The 17,697-nt window shown below is 38.1% G+C and overlaps 1 protein-coding gene across 23 annotated transcripts in view; it reads right to left on the bottom strand.

Annotated features, from left to right (window-relative positions):
- PATJ (PATJ crumbs cell polarity complex component) overlaps positions 1-17,697 on the bottom strand; it is a 421,436-nt gene that overhangs the window by 236,299 nt on the left and 167,440 nt on the right. For all 23 annotated transcript variants that reach the window (XR_007061928.1, XM_011540462.4, XM_011540467.4 and 20 more), the window contains one exon: positions 12,953-13,030. Coding sequence is in view for 22 of the 23 variants with exons in the window: in XM_011540462.4 (XP_011538764.1) it covers positions 12,953-13,030 (78 nt within the window). In the remaining variant the exon portion in view is untranslated. The remainder of the gene's footprint in view (positions 1-12,952; positions 13,031-17,697) is intronic.

Raw genomic sequence — 17,697 nt, 5'->3', positions numbered from 1 at the left:
ATTCATATCATGAGGACTGTAAAACAAACACAATGTATTATTTTAGGCTTATGTTATAATATAAAAGTGACTCTGTGGTATAAACACACTAATGCAGAAAAACAGGAATTTAAGAGCAAGCTTTTAAGACTGCTGACCTACCTAAAGGAGTGCATTCTTTCTCTAGTGAGACAGTCAGTTATTTGTATCTTCTATACATTGTAGAAGCTTAATTTTGTTATTAATCAGAAAATTCAAATGAAAGACATTTCTAAAATAAATGTAAAAGTAAAAACTATCCATTGTATTAATTCTACAATGATTTAAACTTTTTCTTCAATTGTAGAAGTTACAGATTTTATTCTTTAAAAGACACGTGACATACCAAGATTTTCTAACTGAAAATGTATTCATCTATAATTTATAGATGGTCAACACACATTTTAACATTTTCAAAAAGAGATATCTTCATGATGAATAATTATATCTGCATAAATATTCATTCAATTCACATACCAAATGATACAGCACATCAATATTTGGTTCATACACACAATTAAAGTAGAACTAAACTCTATGATCAAATTACCTTCACAGAATGAAGACATTTTCTTGAACGCTGGGAAAAATAAAACATGCCAAACTCAACGGTGAGACTCAAGCTGCTAAAAAGAATAGGAGCCGATATACCCAAGCACTCCAGAAAAAACAAAATAACTGGATTATGCTACAGGATTTCAGTAAAGTACATTCAATTATGCTTTATATGACAAAACCACTAATGGCAGGATACACTTCAGTAAGTGGCCAATGAGTGGTCCATTACAGAAAGCAGGCTTGTAATAAATTCCTCCAAAATAGAAAATACTATTTGAGAGTCATAAAGGAAAGCACACACCCATATTTACTTAAGATAATGTCGAACCAAAGCAGAAACTATATACACTTGTAGAAAATCCAAAAATCTATAAAATGCAACAGTGATGGCAGAAGATGCCAAATACAAAATGCCTCTTAGGCAATAGGAGAATACAGAAATGTGATCACTTTGTCTCTTTAATTCTTGTAAGTTGAAAAAAAAACTTAAAAGTGAGTGAAATGAAGAGTAAAGGCAAATGAACTCTTTTCAGTAAACCTTTTCCTCAGAACCAGGATATTCTATATCAAAGACAATACTCAGAACAAAGACAGCCAGGTTTTAAACTAATATTAAGAGATGAATTCTCTTTAATGGAATTTTTTACATCTAAGGCAAAACTGTACCACTGATTTATTTATTTAGCTTCTACTGATATTCTTGAAAAAGAATATAGAATAAGCATGTCCTGGTCTCCTTATAGTCTGAATGTGGATTGCCAGATACTGCATGTGAGAGAAGGGTGTGTACAGGGCCAGGCTCTCCCCAGATGTGGCAAAGGCAGCTGGAGCAAGGGATGTACAACTAGATCAGGTGATTATGACCTTCACCAGGGTAGAGCACAAAACAGACTCTGGTATCCTCAACTCTGAGAACAGTCCTGGGAACACAGTAGGCCTCCCTGAACTATTTGCTGAATGACTAAACAACTGGTTGTCACTTGTGCTGTTTGGGTTCCCTGACGCATTATTAACCTTAGAAAAATGTCAGAGATGCAAATAATTCTTGTTCAATGTCATTGCATATTAATTTTGTCTGGTAGAGATGCAAATGATTTTAGTCCTATAGAAAAGATCACTTCAAAGGTTACAGTTTTATTGCCCTGTAAGACATTAACCAGTTTTGTATCTAAATTGGAATCTTAAGCATTCTTTCTTTTAGCACTCTCTTCAATAGCACTTCACTCTCTTCAATTCTCTCTGAACCAGGCTTACCATCTTATTGGTTCCCTCATTAATGAGTTAAACAAATACCTGGCACCTGCACATTTTGCATAATTTTCAGTCATGTTTTTATTTTTTTCTTAAATTATACTTTGAACAGTTTTGGAGGTCCCACAGAGATGCTCAAGCAGACTCACCTACCAGAACCAATTAAATTGTGATGCCTCAGAGATGCAATTCATGAGCTGTTTAAGCCCATTTACATGATTTTTTGGCACCCACAGTTAATTCCAAGTGGCAACAAACTTTGCTTTTTTGACAGTTTCTCTGATTTTTATTTCCAGTTCTATGATTTTGTTTCTGATATGAGACCAAGTTTGGTTCTGATGTGTACTTGTAATTCCTCGCTGATAGTAGGAATAAATGAAGTTTGGTTTTATGGTCTGACCATTTAGAGTTATTTGTTGGGATGAGAATCTATATTATGCTGCTTCTATAAAGATCTATTCTCGATTGATTGAGAGACAACAGAGAATGCATTTTTTAGTCTTCTTGTTTGCCTGTCTGTCTTTTTTTTTTTTTTTTTTTTTTTTTTTTTTTTTTTTTTTTTTTTTTTTTTTTTTTTTTTTTTTTTTTTTGAGACGGAGTCTCGCTCTGTCACCCAGGCTGGAGTGCAGTGGCGCGATCTCGGCTCACTGCAAGCTCCGCCTCCCGGGTTCACGCCATTCTCCTGCCTCAGCCTCCCGAGTAGCTGGGACCACAGGCGCCCGCCACTACGCCCGGCTAACTTTTTGTATTTTTAGTAGAGACGGGGTTTCACCTTGGTCTCGATCTCCTGACCTCGTGATCCACCCGCCTCGGCCTCCCAAAGTGCTGGGATTACAGGCGTGAGCCACCGCGCCCGGCCGCCTGTCTGTCTTTTTGTACAAGAACATGTCTTGGGTCCTACTGGAAAGAACAGCTCTTTAACGTAAAACCAGTAGGGTTTTACATTCCTATGTCTACATTTGACATATGGCTATAGCTGCAGGACAGAAGCAGAATACATTGTGTATCTGCACTGGAGAAAGAAAAGTCCTTACCTTTCATTTTGAGTGTGAAATATTTTCCTACCTTCAGAGCATATTAATAAATTAGATATAAATCTCTCAAAATAAAGAATCTCTTTCTGATTGGTTTATATAAGTGAGCATTATTTAAATGTAATATTCCCAGAGTTTCCAGAAAATAGTTGACTAAAGTTATACTACTTTAAATGTACAAGCCTTTTAATAATAATTTTAAGAATCTCTTTTTCACAAAAACCACAAACTCAGAATCATTTTTATATAAGGATCCAAATTCACATAATCAAAGTTCATAATCTCTTGAAGAAAGAGAATATGTGAAATAACACTGAAGAAAACCTTAGAAAATAGCCAAGAGTTTTTAGGAACCCACAGTTAATACTAGTATTTCTTTTCTGTTTTTGAGACAGAGTCTCACTCTGTCATCCAGGCTGGAGTGCAGTGGTGCCATCTCAGCTCACTGTAACCTCTGTCTCCCGGGTTCAAGCAATTCTCCTGCCTCAGCCTCCCAAGTAGCTGGGATTACAAGCTCGTACCACCACACCTGGCTAATTTTTGTATTTTTGGAAGAGACGGGGTTTCACCATGTTGGTCAGGCTGGTCTTGAACTCCTGTCAAATGATCTTCCTGCCTCGGCCTCCCAAAGTGCTGGGATTACAGGCATGAGCTATTGTGCCTGGCCAGTATTTCTATGAATCCTGATTGCCTATTCTTTCACTCTACGTAATGCAAAACAGGTCAAAAAACAGTGAACTGAGGCAAACTAGAACAAAACTAGAGACTCATTCAAGATCTGCTCATTAGTTTTCTGTTCGTTTGTTTTTAGTCACTTTTTTTTTTTTTTTTTTGAGATGGAGTTTCAGTCTTGTCGTCCAGGCTCGAGTGCAATGGCGAGATCTCAGCTCACTACAACCTCCGCCTCCTGGGTTCATGCGAGTCTCCTTCCTCAGCCTCCCAAGTAGCTGGAATTATAGGCATGTGCCACCACAGCCGGCTAATTTTTTTTTGTATTTTTAGTAGAGACAGGGTTTCACCATGTTGCTCAGGCTGGTCTCAAACTCCTGGCCTCAGGTGATCCACCCACCTCAGCCTCCCAAAGTGCTGGGATTACAGGCATGAGCCACCACGCCCGGCTAGTCACTCTCTTTTTTTAAAGTGAATGATCTCAAACCAAACCTAGACCTCTGTTAGAAATGAGTTTCGGGTGATTTGTATTGTCAATGATTCTAGAGAACATGTCTTGCTTTTATATTAAGGAGAAAATAAGATAAACAAAAAAAACTTCTTCTAGTGATAATAATTTTTAAAGAGATAGATTAGTCTCCTGGCCTCCTAACTTTGAAAAGAGTACGCTCCCAAAGCATGCTGGGCACATTTTTATTTTCATACTAATTACATTCTCTTTATTTCACTACATGTGGCACCATGATCTGAATGCCTCTTATGGTGAAGGCGCCTTGTCATTCCAGAATGTAGTAAAATGCTTGGCATCTAAGATGCAATTTCAGAGAAAAGTAATACAGTAAAAAGAGCATTCTGCAACCACTAAAAGACCATCTGTAATGAAGATGTAGATTCTGATATGATTTCTCCTGTTGCCACATTAACGCAGTGGCTAGGTGTTTTTCTTTGTGACAAATAACTCAGTTGACTTTTGGTATTACTGGGCTCCTACTGGGGTTTTTACTGAATGCAAATATCCTTGCCATGTATTGAAATTCAATTGGTTTAATGGAGCAGTCCAAAGTTGATAAGAATCACACATTTACTTTTTTCTTTCCTGGGATCTTATGTGGAATTTTCCTGAATTGATTACATTATCTTGTTCCCAGATGTGGCTGGAGTAGTAACAAGTTCATTCACCTACGTGGTGTTCATTGTCTGTGTCCCCACAGAGTATTACCTTATATGTTTCCTTTTTGATGTTATATCCCCAGATTGTTGCACAGTAACTGGTTCACTATAGGTAACCAATAAACACTTGATGAATGTTCACATCTTTGCATCAACATATGAATTGACAAAATTCCAGCAATAGGGTAGATTAGATATTCAGAAGAACCCTTCTTAACCACACAAAAATGACAGATTAAAGTTTAAACAGTGCTTTTGTGACATGTGACTGAAGTCAGAAACAAAAATCCTAAATCAGGAGGTCCAGTGGAGCACTGGAAGGTGACACTTGCCTGGAGGGCATCTGCCAATCCTTGGAAACCTAAAGCCAGAGATCTCTTTTGATTTTAGGACTCTTTATTCATTCAAGAAATATATATGATGCCAGGCAGTGTTCTGGGTGATAGAGGTAGAGTAATAATGCAACAGATGAGGTCCCTGCCCTCATGGAGCTTAAATTCCAGTCCCTTCCAGATGTCACATTTTGTGGGTTTCCATGTCTTGTCCCCAAATTACTTTAAAGTAGCAGTTACTGGCCAGGCATGGTGGCTCACATCTATAATTCCAGCCTTTGGGAGGCTGAGGCGGGCAGATCGCCTGATGTCAGGAGTTCAAGACCAGCCTGGCCAACATGGTGAAACCCCATTTTTACTAAAAAAATAAAAAAATTAGCCAGGTGTGGTGGTGTGCACCTGTAGTCCCAGCTATTTAGGAGTCTGAGGCAGGAGATTTGCTTGAACCTGAGGGGTGGAGGTTGCAGTGAGCTGAGATTGCACTACTGCACTCCAACCTGGGTGACAGAGGGAGACTCCATTTTGAAAAAAAATAAAAATAATAAAAATAAAGTAGCAGTTACTGATTCTATCCTGTTTGCCTTGCCCCACTAGAAATGCAAGCTGCAAGACAGCAGGAATTTTTTTTGTCTTTAACAGCTTTAATTCAATATATTGAAGTATAATTGACATGTACAAAACTGCACACATTTAAAGGATACAATTTGAATCCATCACCACAATCAAGATAGTGAACATAACCATCATCCCTAAAAATCTGTTCATGTCTTTTTTAAATCCCTCCTTCCCACCTCTTCCCCTGACACCTCATTCCCAAGGAACCCCTGATCTGTTTTCTCTCACTACAGATTGTATTTTCTAGACTTTTTTACAAATATAATCATCCAGTATCTACACATTTTTATTTAATGAGAGATAAGGATTTAATGAGTCCCAAGTGCCCCCTTGAGGCCAAGGAAGGTGGGAAGTTAGACTAAAAATATCACCCTCCCAAATTCCTATCCCTGAAAATAAAGGCTTGTACCTCTAAAAGATTGACAAAGAATTCTGCAACTAATTACCTGCAATCTGTAGGGAAAAAGAAACACCTCTGCAAGCAATAATCACCATCTTCTGGAATCTTATATATTACCTATGCTTATTAATAGGTGTCCCTCTAAAAAAACCCACAACAGCCTGATCATATGACATGTGCTACTGCTAATCTGAATATAATCTTTGTGATTAAAATCTGAACTGAAAGACAGTGGCCAATCCAGTTAAACAGACAATCCTTTAATTTGGTAAACAACCTAATGACACTTTTCCTCATCTTTTTGCAAAAACTCTTTCCTTAAATCCTCAAGGAGTCAGTGTCTTGACTGGCCCCCATGTATATGTCTGTAATTAAAGTTGTCCCATGGGTTCAATTCAGTTATGTCTTTTTTCCTAATGGGGTGAAATCTGTAGTAGATAAAGGTTTAAAAAAATAAACAAACCAAAATATTGATCACAGAAGATATATTTCCTGGTCTTTGTCTTAGCTTGAGGTGGAAGAGAAAAAGAGGAAAAAGGTGCACCTTAAGAATTCCATACAAGAGGCCAGGTGCGGTGGTTCATGCCTGTAATCCCAGCACTTTGGGAGGCTGAGGCGGGTGGATCACCTGAGGTCAGGAGTTCAAGACCAGCCTGGCCAACATGGTGAAACCCCATCTCTACCAAAAATATAAAAATTAGCTGGGCATGGTGGGCATTCCTGTAATCCCAGCTACTCAGGAGGCTGCAGCAGGAGAATCACTTGAACATGGGAGGTGGAGGTTGCATGAGCAGAGATCACTCCACTGCACTCCAGCCTGGGCAACAGAGCGAGACTCTGTCTCAAAAAAAAAAAAAAAAAAAAAAAGAATTCCATACAAGTCTAGATTCACTGAAGTTAAAGACCTGACTTCATTTTATGTGTGTGGCTTAACGAATTCCAACCCAACATGCCAGGCAAATATAAAAAGAAAGTCAACATGGTTTCAGTGATAGTGGGTATATTAGTCCGTTTTCATGCTGCTAATAAAGACATACCTGAGACTGGGAAGAAAAAGAAGTTTAATGGACTTACATTTCCATGAGGCAGGAGAGGCCTCATAATCATGGCGGAAAGCAAGGAGGAGCAAGTCACCTCTTATGTGGATGGTGGCAGGCAAAGAGAGAGAGCTTGTGCAGGGAAACTCCTGGTTTTAAAACCACCAGATCACACTATCACGAGAGTAGCACAGGAAAGACCCGCCCCCATGATTCAATTATCTCCCACCAGGTCCCTCCCACAACACTTGAGAATTCAAGGTGAGATTTGGGTGGGGAGACTGCCAAACCGTATCAGTGGGTGAAACAGATGTTTAAGGTATTACTAAACACTGCCACATATTAATAAAAGGGCCAATTTCCCAAGGATGATATAAAAATTTTAAACTTGGATGTACTTAATAAATTAACTTGAAAACATGTGAAATAAAAACTAAAAATACACAAAAAACAGACTAATTTTAGTATCAAAAGGGGCAATCATTAGGTTATGCTAACAAAAAAAATCAGTAAGTATAAGAAATCGGAATAACTCAAATAGTTAGTTTGATCTATCAACTTTTTATAAAAACCTGTACTCAATAACTAAATAATAGCTATCCTTTTTAATCACAAATATAACATTTCATAATAACTATGTACTAGGCCATTAAAAACATGTCTCAACCAATGTCAAAGAATTAATATTACATACACAACAATCTCTGATTATAGCTAAATTAGAAAATAAGAACAAAAAGATTTTAAAAAATATTCATGTGGAAACTTCAAAATATATTTCTAAATACATTTTGGGTCAAAGAGAAATCACATTGGAGCCTAAAACAAAAACAAAAACAAACAAACAAACAAAAAACCCTTAGTACCAAAAAACAGAAATTCAATTTAAAATTTTAGAATGTAGTAAACAGGAACTTAGCAAAACTTAGGCTAGAGGCAGTGGCTCAAACCTGTAACCCCAGCATTTTGGGAGGCTGAGGTAGGCAGATTGCTTTAGCCCAGAAGTTTGAGATCAGCCTGCGCAACATGGCAAAACCTCATCTCAAAAAAAAATACAAAAAACTAGCTGGGCGTGGTGGTGCGCGTCAGTGGTCTCAGCTACTTGGGAGGCTCAGATGGGAGGACTACTGGCAGTGAGGTTGCAGTGAGCCATGATTGCCCCACTGCACTCCATCCTGGGCAACAGAGTAAGGGCTGTGTCTCCAAAAAAAAAAGAAAAAGAAAGAAAAAATTTATAACCTTAAATGATTATTTTAGACAAGAAAGAAAGTAGAAAATAAATAATCTCTGCATTTAACTAAAGATTATTAAGGGGTGAAAAAGGGGAATGAATTCAAACAAGGAAGTAAGGCAATATAAAGATGAGAACAAAATTAATTAAGCAGAAAAAAGATATAACAGATAAGACGAACACACTTCAAAAGGTAATTCTTCAGAAAAAAAAATTAAATGAAAAATTACTTTCAAGATTAATCAAGAAAAAGATATAGCAAATAATTACCAATTTTATTTTTTACAATTTATTTTTCATTATTATTTGTTTTATTTTATTTTTTACTTTTTAAAAATTTTTTTGAGACAGGGTTTTGCCCTGTCCCCTAGGCTGGAGTGCAGTGGTGTGACCATGGCTCACTGCGGCCTTCCCTGGCTCAAGTGATCCTCCCAGCTCAGCCTCCCAAGTAGCTGGGACTACAGGTGCACACCACCACACCCAGCTAATATTTTATATTTTGTAGAGACAGGGTCTTCCCAGGTTGCCCAGGCTGGTCTTGGAACTTCTGGGCTAAAGCAATCCTCCTACTTAGGCCTCCTAAAGTTCTGGGATTACAGGAGTGAGCCACCAGGCCTGGCCATAATTACCTATTTCAGAATGAAAAAGAACTACTATGAATGGAGCAGAGATGATTAAAGTTAAGAGAAATGGCTGGGCACGGTGGCTCAGGCCTGTAATCCTAGCACTTTGAGAGGCGGAGGTGGGCAGATTGCCTGAGCTCAAGAGTTCAAGACCAGCCTGGGCAACACGGTAAGACCCATCTCTACTAAAAAATATACAAAAATTTAGCCAGGCATGGTGGCGCATGCCTGTAATCCCAGCTACTCGGGAGGCTGAGGCATGAGAATCACTTGAATCTGGGAGGCGGAGGTTGCAGTGAGCTGATGCCATGCCACTTCACTCCAGCCTGGGTGACACAGCAAGACTGTCTCCAAAAAAAAAAAAAAAAAAAGAATACACAAACAACTTTATGCCAACAAATGTAAAAAACTTAGGTGATATTAATATTCCTACAAAAGTCAATGACCAAAAATGACTAGGAGAAATAGAAAATCCAAATGATTCAATAACTATTAAAGAACTAAATCAGTATTTAAAATTTTTCCCACATAGAAAACACAGGCCCACAACGGCTTCATAGGGTAGCTTGACTAAAGATTGAAGGAATTGATAATGTTTTCTTTCTTTCTTTTCTTTTTTTTTTTTTTGAGACAGAGTCTCGCTCTGTCGTCCAGGCTGGAGTGCAGTGGCGCCATCTTGGCTCACTGCAACCTCCACCTCCCAGGTTCAAGTGATTCTCCTGCCTCAGCCTCCCAAGTAGCTGAGATTACAGGTGCACGCCACCAGGCCCAGCTAATTTTTGTATTTTTAGTAGAGACGGGGTTTCGCCATGTTGGTCAGGCTGGTCTTGAACTCCTGACCTTGTGATTCGCCCACGTTGGCCTCCCAAAGTGCTAGGATTGCAGGCATGAGCCACCACACCTGGCCAATAATTTCTTTTTTTATACAAACTCTCAGAGAACTTAAAAGAACACATGCTCCTACCGATCATTTTAGTAGTTTACCATAACCAAAGCCAGATAGGACAGTATATAAATGAAAATTTCCAGGCAAATCTCACTCATGACCATGGATGGAAAAATCCTAAAATAAATATCAGCAATGGGGAAAAACAAAACAAAACAAATAAATTGCATTCCAGTAATTCAAGATTGGTTCAACATTCTGAAATCTATTAATATAATTTACTACATTAAAGGATTCAAGGAGAAAAAAATTTATAGATGCACATACTTCTTTCACTGGAGATTAGTAATATATCTGATTAAATTCAATGCCAGTGCCATTCATGGTAAAAATTCTTAGCAAAGTAGGAATGAAAGAGAGTATTTCCTTAACCTGATTGAAGCCACCTTTGCAAAAATTATAACTGTCAGAAAACTATGGCAGTGAAAGAGACCTGACCTAACCAACTCCATCTTGCCTTTAACCTCCAATATCTTGGCCTTGTTCATCCCTGTGCATAGGCCAAGCTGACCATAGGAGGAATTTAGTTTATAGTTAAACTTTGGAACAAAGATGGTAACAGCTCTTTTCCAAAACAAACCCCCTACTTGCCTAGGGACCAGACCATCTTTGCAAAACCAACAAATTAGCCACAAGATTAGAAATTATGGTTTAGGAGTCATGCAGTCAGAAGCCACACGATTCCTAACCTCCTCAGTTGCTTCCATGGATAATGTTACTATTATAAAAACTAAGATTAGTGTTTAAGGTATTTTCCAGACTCTGTATTCTGATGGATCAGCCGACGTACCCAGACTGGTAAACTGACTTCTCTGGTCTTCTGCCTCACCTCCCCCAAGGAACTGACTCAGCACAAGAGGACAGTTTTGGACTCCCTATGATTTCATCACCAACCAAACTAATCAGCATTCCCCATTCCCTACCCCCAAAACTATCTTTGAAAGAAGACTCTAGCCTCCAAATTTTCAGGGAGGCTGATTCAAGTAATAATACAATTCCGGTCTCCCATTTAGTCAACTCTGTATGCATTAAACTCTTTCTCTACTGCAATTCCCCTGTCTTGATAAATCGACTGCATTTGGGCAGTGGGTAAGATGAACCCATCAGACAGTTACATGACAGATTATCTACAAATACCTACAGTACATCATATTCAACAGTGAAATATTAAAAGCTTTTCCTTAAATATCAGGAAGAAAAATGACAAGAATGTTAGCTATCATTACTTCTACTAAACACAGTACTGGAGGTCTTAGCAGATACAATAAAATGAGAGAAAGAAAGATTGGAAAGGGAAAAAGAAAATTACCTTATTCCAAAGAGTTTATTATTTATTATATGTATAGAAAATCCAAAAATAAAAATCTACATAGAATAAGAATTTGAGATTCATATTCTTATTAAAAATATCATATATACACACATATATATATGGAGCAGACACACAAAGACACTAAAAGGTTCTATATGAAATGTTTAATAAGTTTATCTTTAGGTGGTAGGTTTATATTTTTATTTTTTTGTTTCACCATTATGGTTTTCCCAGTATTCTCCACTAGATTATTGTATGTTTTAAAAGAATAATGTTACAAGATGTCAAATAAATATATAAAAGTCAATTTTATGTCTACATACTAGAAACAAACAGAAAACACAGTTTAAAGAGATATCATTAAATAGCAAAATAAAATACCTAGGAATAAATCAAGATTTCAGTATCTTTTTAAAGAAAATTATAGGCCAGGCGCAGCAGCTCATGCCTGTAATCCAAGCACTTTGGGAGGCCGAGGCAGGTGGATCACAATGTCAAGAGATCGAGACCATCCTGGCCAACATGGTGAAACCTTGTCTCTACTAAAAATACAGAAATTAGCTGGGCATGGTGGCACATGCCTGTAATCCCAGCAACTTGGGAGGCTGAGGCAGGAGAATCCCTTGAACCCAGGAGGTGGAGGTTGAAGTGAGCCAAGATCACGCCACTGCACTCTGGCCTGGCGACTGAGCAAGACTCTGTCTCCCAAAAACAAAAAAAAAAAAGAAAGAAAAGAAAATTATAAAAATTAATTAAAAGAAATAAAAGAATTTAACAAATTAAAAAATCATATTAATGGCTTAAAAGTCTCAACATCCAAAAGATATAACTTCTTTCTAAGTTAATCTATAGATTCAACAAAATTCCAACCAAAATCCCAAAAGAAACTTTTGTGGAATTTAATAATCTGATTCTAAATGGATATGGAAAATAAAAATGATATAAATAGTTAAGACATGTCTAAGAAGAAGAAACATATAAAAGAAAGTGCTCTATCAGGAAAAAAGATTGATTACTAGGCTTTAATAATTCCGTCAGTGCAGCATTTGTACTGGGATAGACAAGTTGATCAAATGGAACAAAGAGAAAGCTTAGAAACAGACTCCCCCTTGTAACCTGAGATACAGCAGAGTTGGACTGCAAATCAGTGGGTAAAGGAGGTCTATTTTAAAACAGTGGGACAGTAATTCCCCAAGAGAACAACAAGTTCTCTTGATGAGAAAAAATGAAAATTCATCCCTACTTGACACCACATCTTAAAATAATTTTTAGGTCAACAGATTCTACTTTAATAGAGGTGGGCAAACAGGAATGGAGGATTAATTCTGATTGACAGGAAGGATAGTTTTCTCAGGAGAGATGACCTTTGATGTGGTCCTTAAAGAATGAAAAGGATTCTTATGGGAGAGCAATGTGGGAAATGGACTTCCAGGCGAGAGCAGCAAGATCAAAGTCTCAGTGTGAGAGGCATGTTCTGGGAATGGACAAACAACCAGCCTGTCTGAACAGGAAAGAAATCTATAGACGTTGATGGCTGACTGGCCGTTTATAGTATTTTTGCATCTATGCTGCACCAGGTTTCTGTCCTCCATCCTGGTAAGAACCAGTCATATTTGCAGGGAAAAAAATTATAAATATAGTGCTCCTACAACACTGACACTCATCAAAAAGCCACTTCTATTATAGCCCAGATATGGAAAACAAAAACAAAAACAAAACAAAAACATTTTTTAAATCCTTGAGAGGTTCAAGTTACCTTTTCTTTCTTTTCTTGGGTGTCCTGGTTCTGGTTACCGGTGATTTTGTTGGCCTTGTTATGTACGTTAGGAATGACCTATGGTGACAAAAAAAGGGGTGGGGGGAAGAAAACGTTTAAACGACATAATCATTCCTTTTTTTTCTCTTGACATTCCACAATGGAGAATTTTTTTTCAATCATTACATTTCTGTTTTTTTCTTTTTCTGAGATGGAGATTCGCTCTTGTCACCCAGGCTGGAGTGCAATGGCACAATCTCTGCTCACTGTAACCTCCGCCTCCTGGGTTCAAGCGCTTCTCCAGCCTCAGCCTCCTGAGTAGCTGGGGTAATAGGCGCCTGCCACCACACCCAGCTAATTTTTGTATTTTTAGTAGAGATGGAATTTCACCATGTTGGCCAAGCTGCTCTCAAATACCTGACCTCAGATGATCCGCCCGCCTCAGCCTCCCAAAGTGCTGGGATTACAGGCGTGAGCCACTGAGCCTGGCCTATCATTACATTCCTTAATGTATTTGTTTAAACAGCTAAAATCTTAACTTTGTAACTTCATCTAAAGAGTAAAAGTATGAGAAGTACAATTCAAAGCAAACAATAAAACTTGGAAAGCCTGAGAAGATACATAACTCTAAAATATTATAAAGTTATATATATGCCATCAGGGCATAAAAATGCAGGTTTCTGTACGTAGATCCAGAAGCTGAAGACGAAAAAGACTAAAAACAAGTTCACATACTGACTGTAGTCCAAACATCACATTTTGCAAGATAGAGTTTTAGGGGTGATCTAATTAATTATCCAAGAACATAGGATAACACATCTGTTTGACAGATTTACCTTATTCATCATTGTACCCCCAGTTCAAGCATGTTATCTCCCACACTGTGTGTACTCAATATTCCACTATCACTATTAGCATAAGGAGGAATTAACAAATCTATTCCCACCACTGAATAAGCTTAATGAGAGTAGAACTCAGTGTTATTTTTCACTATTTCTCTGGTGCTCAGAAATGGCCTAATACATAGCTGTACATAATAAATGTTTATAAATGAACGAACCAGTTTAATTTTATAAAAAGAAGCTCCTCAAAGAGCTAGCACAGATAATCTTGGCATAAAATCTGGTGAGAGACATGAAGATTAAAAGAAAAAAATAGACCAAGTATAGTGGCTCATATCTGCAATCCCAGCACTTTGAGAGGCTAAGGCAGGAGGATCGCTGGAGTCCAGGAGTTTGAGACCAGCCTGGACAACAAAGGGAGACTCCATCTCTACAAAAATTTACAAATTAGCTGGGTGTGTTGGCGTGCGCCTGTAATCCCAGATACTTGTGGGGCTGAGGTCGAGGCTACAGTGAGCCACAATTGCACCACTGAACACCAGCCTGGGTGACAGGGCAAGATCCTGATTCAAAAAATACATAAATAAATTAAAAAGAAAAAGACAAAAAAAAACTCCTTGCTCAGGAAATTAAAAGACTGCCTGCCTGGAGATAATTAAAAACAAAACAAAAAGCCCATTTTCCCCTAAATGCAATTTAAGATTAAATTTTCATTTTTAATATAGAATGTAAATAAAGTTTAGAATGAGAAAGTCTCAGAAACGTGTCATTTACGTAAAAAACAACAGTAACGATACACTAACATATATACAGTGCTATGTGAAGAGGCACTGTGCTACTAGTAACCTAATATTTCTATCTCTGTTTAATACATATAACAACCTAAGACAGATTTCAAAGACTGGTGGGGTTTACAGGCATGTGTTCCTTGTCCTGAAGAATCTTAAACAAAACACTTTGCCTCCCTGACAAGTCAGAAACTATCTGCCCACACTACTACTTTCTCCCATAGAAAAACTAGCTGATGCTAAATAGAAGCTTTGGGATGAGACAGAATGTCAGCTGCCACTCACAATGTTTACGCTGCCTTCCCTCCCCTCCCCTCCTCTCTACCTTCCCCTCCCCTCTTCCCTCCCCTCCCCTCCCCTCCCTCCCTCCCTTCCTTCCCTCCCTCTCTCTCTCTTTCTTATCTTTCTTTCTTTCATTGGTTTGTTCATTCGTTGAGACAGAGTCTCACTCTGTCACCCAGGCTGGAGTGCAGTGGCCACTGCAGTGCAGTCTTGGCTCACTGCAACCTGTGTCTCCCAGGTTCAAGCAATTCTTGTGCCTCATTCCCAAGTAGCTGAGGTTACAAGTGTAAACCACCGCACTCAGCTACTTTTTCTATTTTTAATAGAGACAGGGTTTCACCATGTTGGCCAGGCTGGTCTCCAACTCCAGACCTCAAGTGATCCTCTCACCTCAGCCTCCGAAAGTGCTGGGATTACAGGCGTGAGCCACTGCGCCCAGCCCACTGTTTTTCAAATAGCAGAGAAATGTTCTTCTGTACATATATCTTTAGCAAAATTTAGAAGACAAAATGCTCAATGAGACTCCACCTTTCAGGAAAACAGAAGACTGTATTTCTCGTGAAAGTAAAAATATATTTATAGGTGATTAATATGCAAAATGTTCATGTGTCAAAAAAAGTAGGTACCCTTATAGAACAATGGTATTGGTAAGCACAACTGGAATACAGGAAGAAAGAAAGCAACACGTGATGATAAACATAATGAGCTGAAGATATCCAATTTTTTAATATAAAAATATATATATATTAATATAGAATGAAAATAAAGTTTAGAATAAATGAGAAAGTCTCAGAAATGTGTCATTTATGTAAAAAAACAGCAGTAATGATACATTAACATATATACAGTGCTATGTGAAGAGGCACTGTGCTAGTACCTAATATTTCTATCTCTGTTTAATACATATAACAACCTAAGTCAGATTTCAAAGACTGGTGGGGTTTACAGGCATGTGTTCCTTGTCCTGAAGAATCTTAAACAAAACACTTTGCCTCCCTGACAAGTCAGAAACTATCTGACTTGTCATATATATGATATATATATATATATATATATAAAAATATATAGATGATGGAATTTCTGTGAAGTGCAGTTATGTTATTAAGTGGAAAAAATTACCTTACAGAAAAACTTTCTATGGGCCTTACTCTCAAATAAGTATTTGCCAAGTACATCCAAGTAGATACACACATTTTTCCAGAAGGCTGAAAATACACTTGAGAAAGTCAGGGTAAGAAGATTTAAAAGGTGTATTGGTGGCTAGGTGCGGTGGCTCACTTTGGGAGGCCGAGGTGGGCGGATCACGAGGTCAGGAGTTCGAAACCAGCCTGACCAACATGGTGAAACCTCATCTCTACTAAAAATACAAAAATTAGCTGAGCGTGGTGGCATGCACCTGTAATCCCAGCTACTCAGGAGGCTGAGGCAGAAGAATTACTTGAATCCGGGTGGCGGAGGTTGCAGTGAGCTGAGATCACACCACTGCATTCCAGCCTGGGCGAAGAGCGAGACTCTGTCCCAAAACAAACAAACAAACAAAAAACAACAACAAAAAAAACCCAAGAAAGTGTACTGGTGATGCTCCTAAGGCAGCTGATAATGCACACAGATAAAAACAACCGCTCAATTCATAGTGTTGAGGAGAATGTTTATGTGACCAAGGTACTTTTAGACATCACCTTTGATGGGCACAACATTAGAAAATGACTTATTTTGGGGGTTTTAAGGAAAGTTCAAAATTTAATGTAAACTAGATAAAAATGATTAAGCATTGCCTATATTTTCTATTTCTGGATAATCAGTACTACTTGCAATAATAAGTAAACCAAAGACAGCACCATTTTACAAAGACATGAAACTTGATTCTCCTTTCATTTGCCTCACTCAATAAGAATCACTTTGCCCTGTCCAGGTGCAGTGGCTCATGCTTGTAATCCCAACACTTTGGGAGGCCAAGGCAGGAGGATTACTTGAGCCTGGAGTTCAAGACTTGCCTGAGGAATAAGGGGAGACCCTGTCTGCGGGAAAAAAATCAAAAACTAGCTGGGCATGGTGATCCATGCCTGTGGTCCCAGCCACTTGGGAGGCTGAACTGGGAAGATTGCTTGAGCCAAGGAGATCGGGGCTTCAGTGAGTCATGATTGTGCCACTGCACTCAGCCTGGGTGACAGAATAAGACCCTGTCTCCAAAAAAAAAAAAAAAAAAAAAAAAAAAAGAGTCACTTTGCCCTATAAACAAAGTTGAAAATGGAACAAGTCATGGACATGGTAATTAACATCATCAATGGGATATGCTCCCTTGGCTAGAACCACAGATGGTTCAATGCCTGATGAACTGAATGTACAATGTGGCAGTCTATTATACTACATAGGGAATAAGTAACTTGAGCATGGCATGGTGCTGAAGAGATTTTCTTTGTTTGAATAATTGAAAGAAATTGCACTGTTTGTGTCATCCAAACAAAAGTTTCCACCTCAGCTCACTAGCAAAGGTTGGATTGAAAGCTTAGCCTTTTTGGCAGGTCATTCACAGCTGGCCACACAAATGTATAATTTGATTGGCTCATTCTCATTCAAAATTATTGATTTGGAAGTATAATTTGGCAAAGAACAATCTGGCCAATTTTCCTGTTGAACTAGGTTTCCAGAAATAAAAGCCATGGCCTCAACTATATTCTCAATATTGTAAGAATTAAAAACTGAATTCTAAAAATTCTTATTGAATTTCAAATTTTATGAAAACAAGAGAACTTTATTCAGCTCACCTCTCTCAATTAGTCTTGATGATGTAAACATAGTGCTAAGAATGGAAGGCACCATACTGCAAAATGCA

The sequence above is a fragment of the Homo sapiens genome, chromosome 1 (assembly GCF_000001405.40).
Source record: "Homo sapiens chromosome 1, GRCh38.p14 Primary Assembly".
In the NCBI taxonomy this organism is placed as follows: domain Eukaryota; kingdom Metazoa; phylum Chordata; class Mammalia; order Primates; family Hominidae; genus Homo; species Homo sapiens.
Note: the sequence above shows the minus strand (reverse complement) of the source record. Positions and strands in the feature narration are given on the sequence as shown.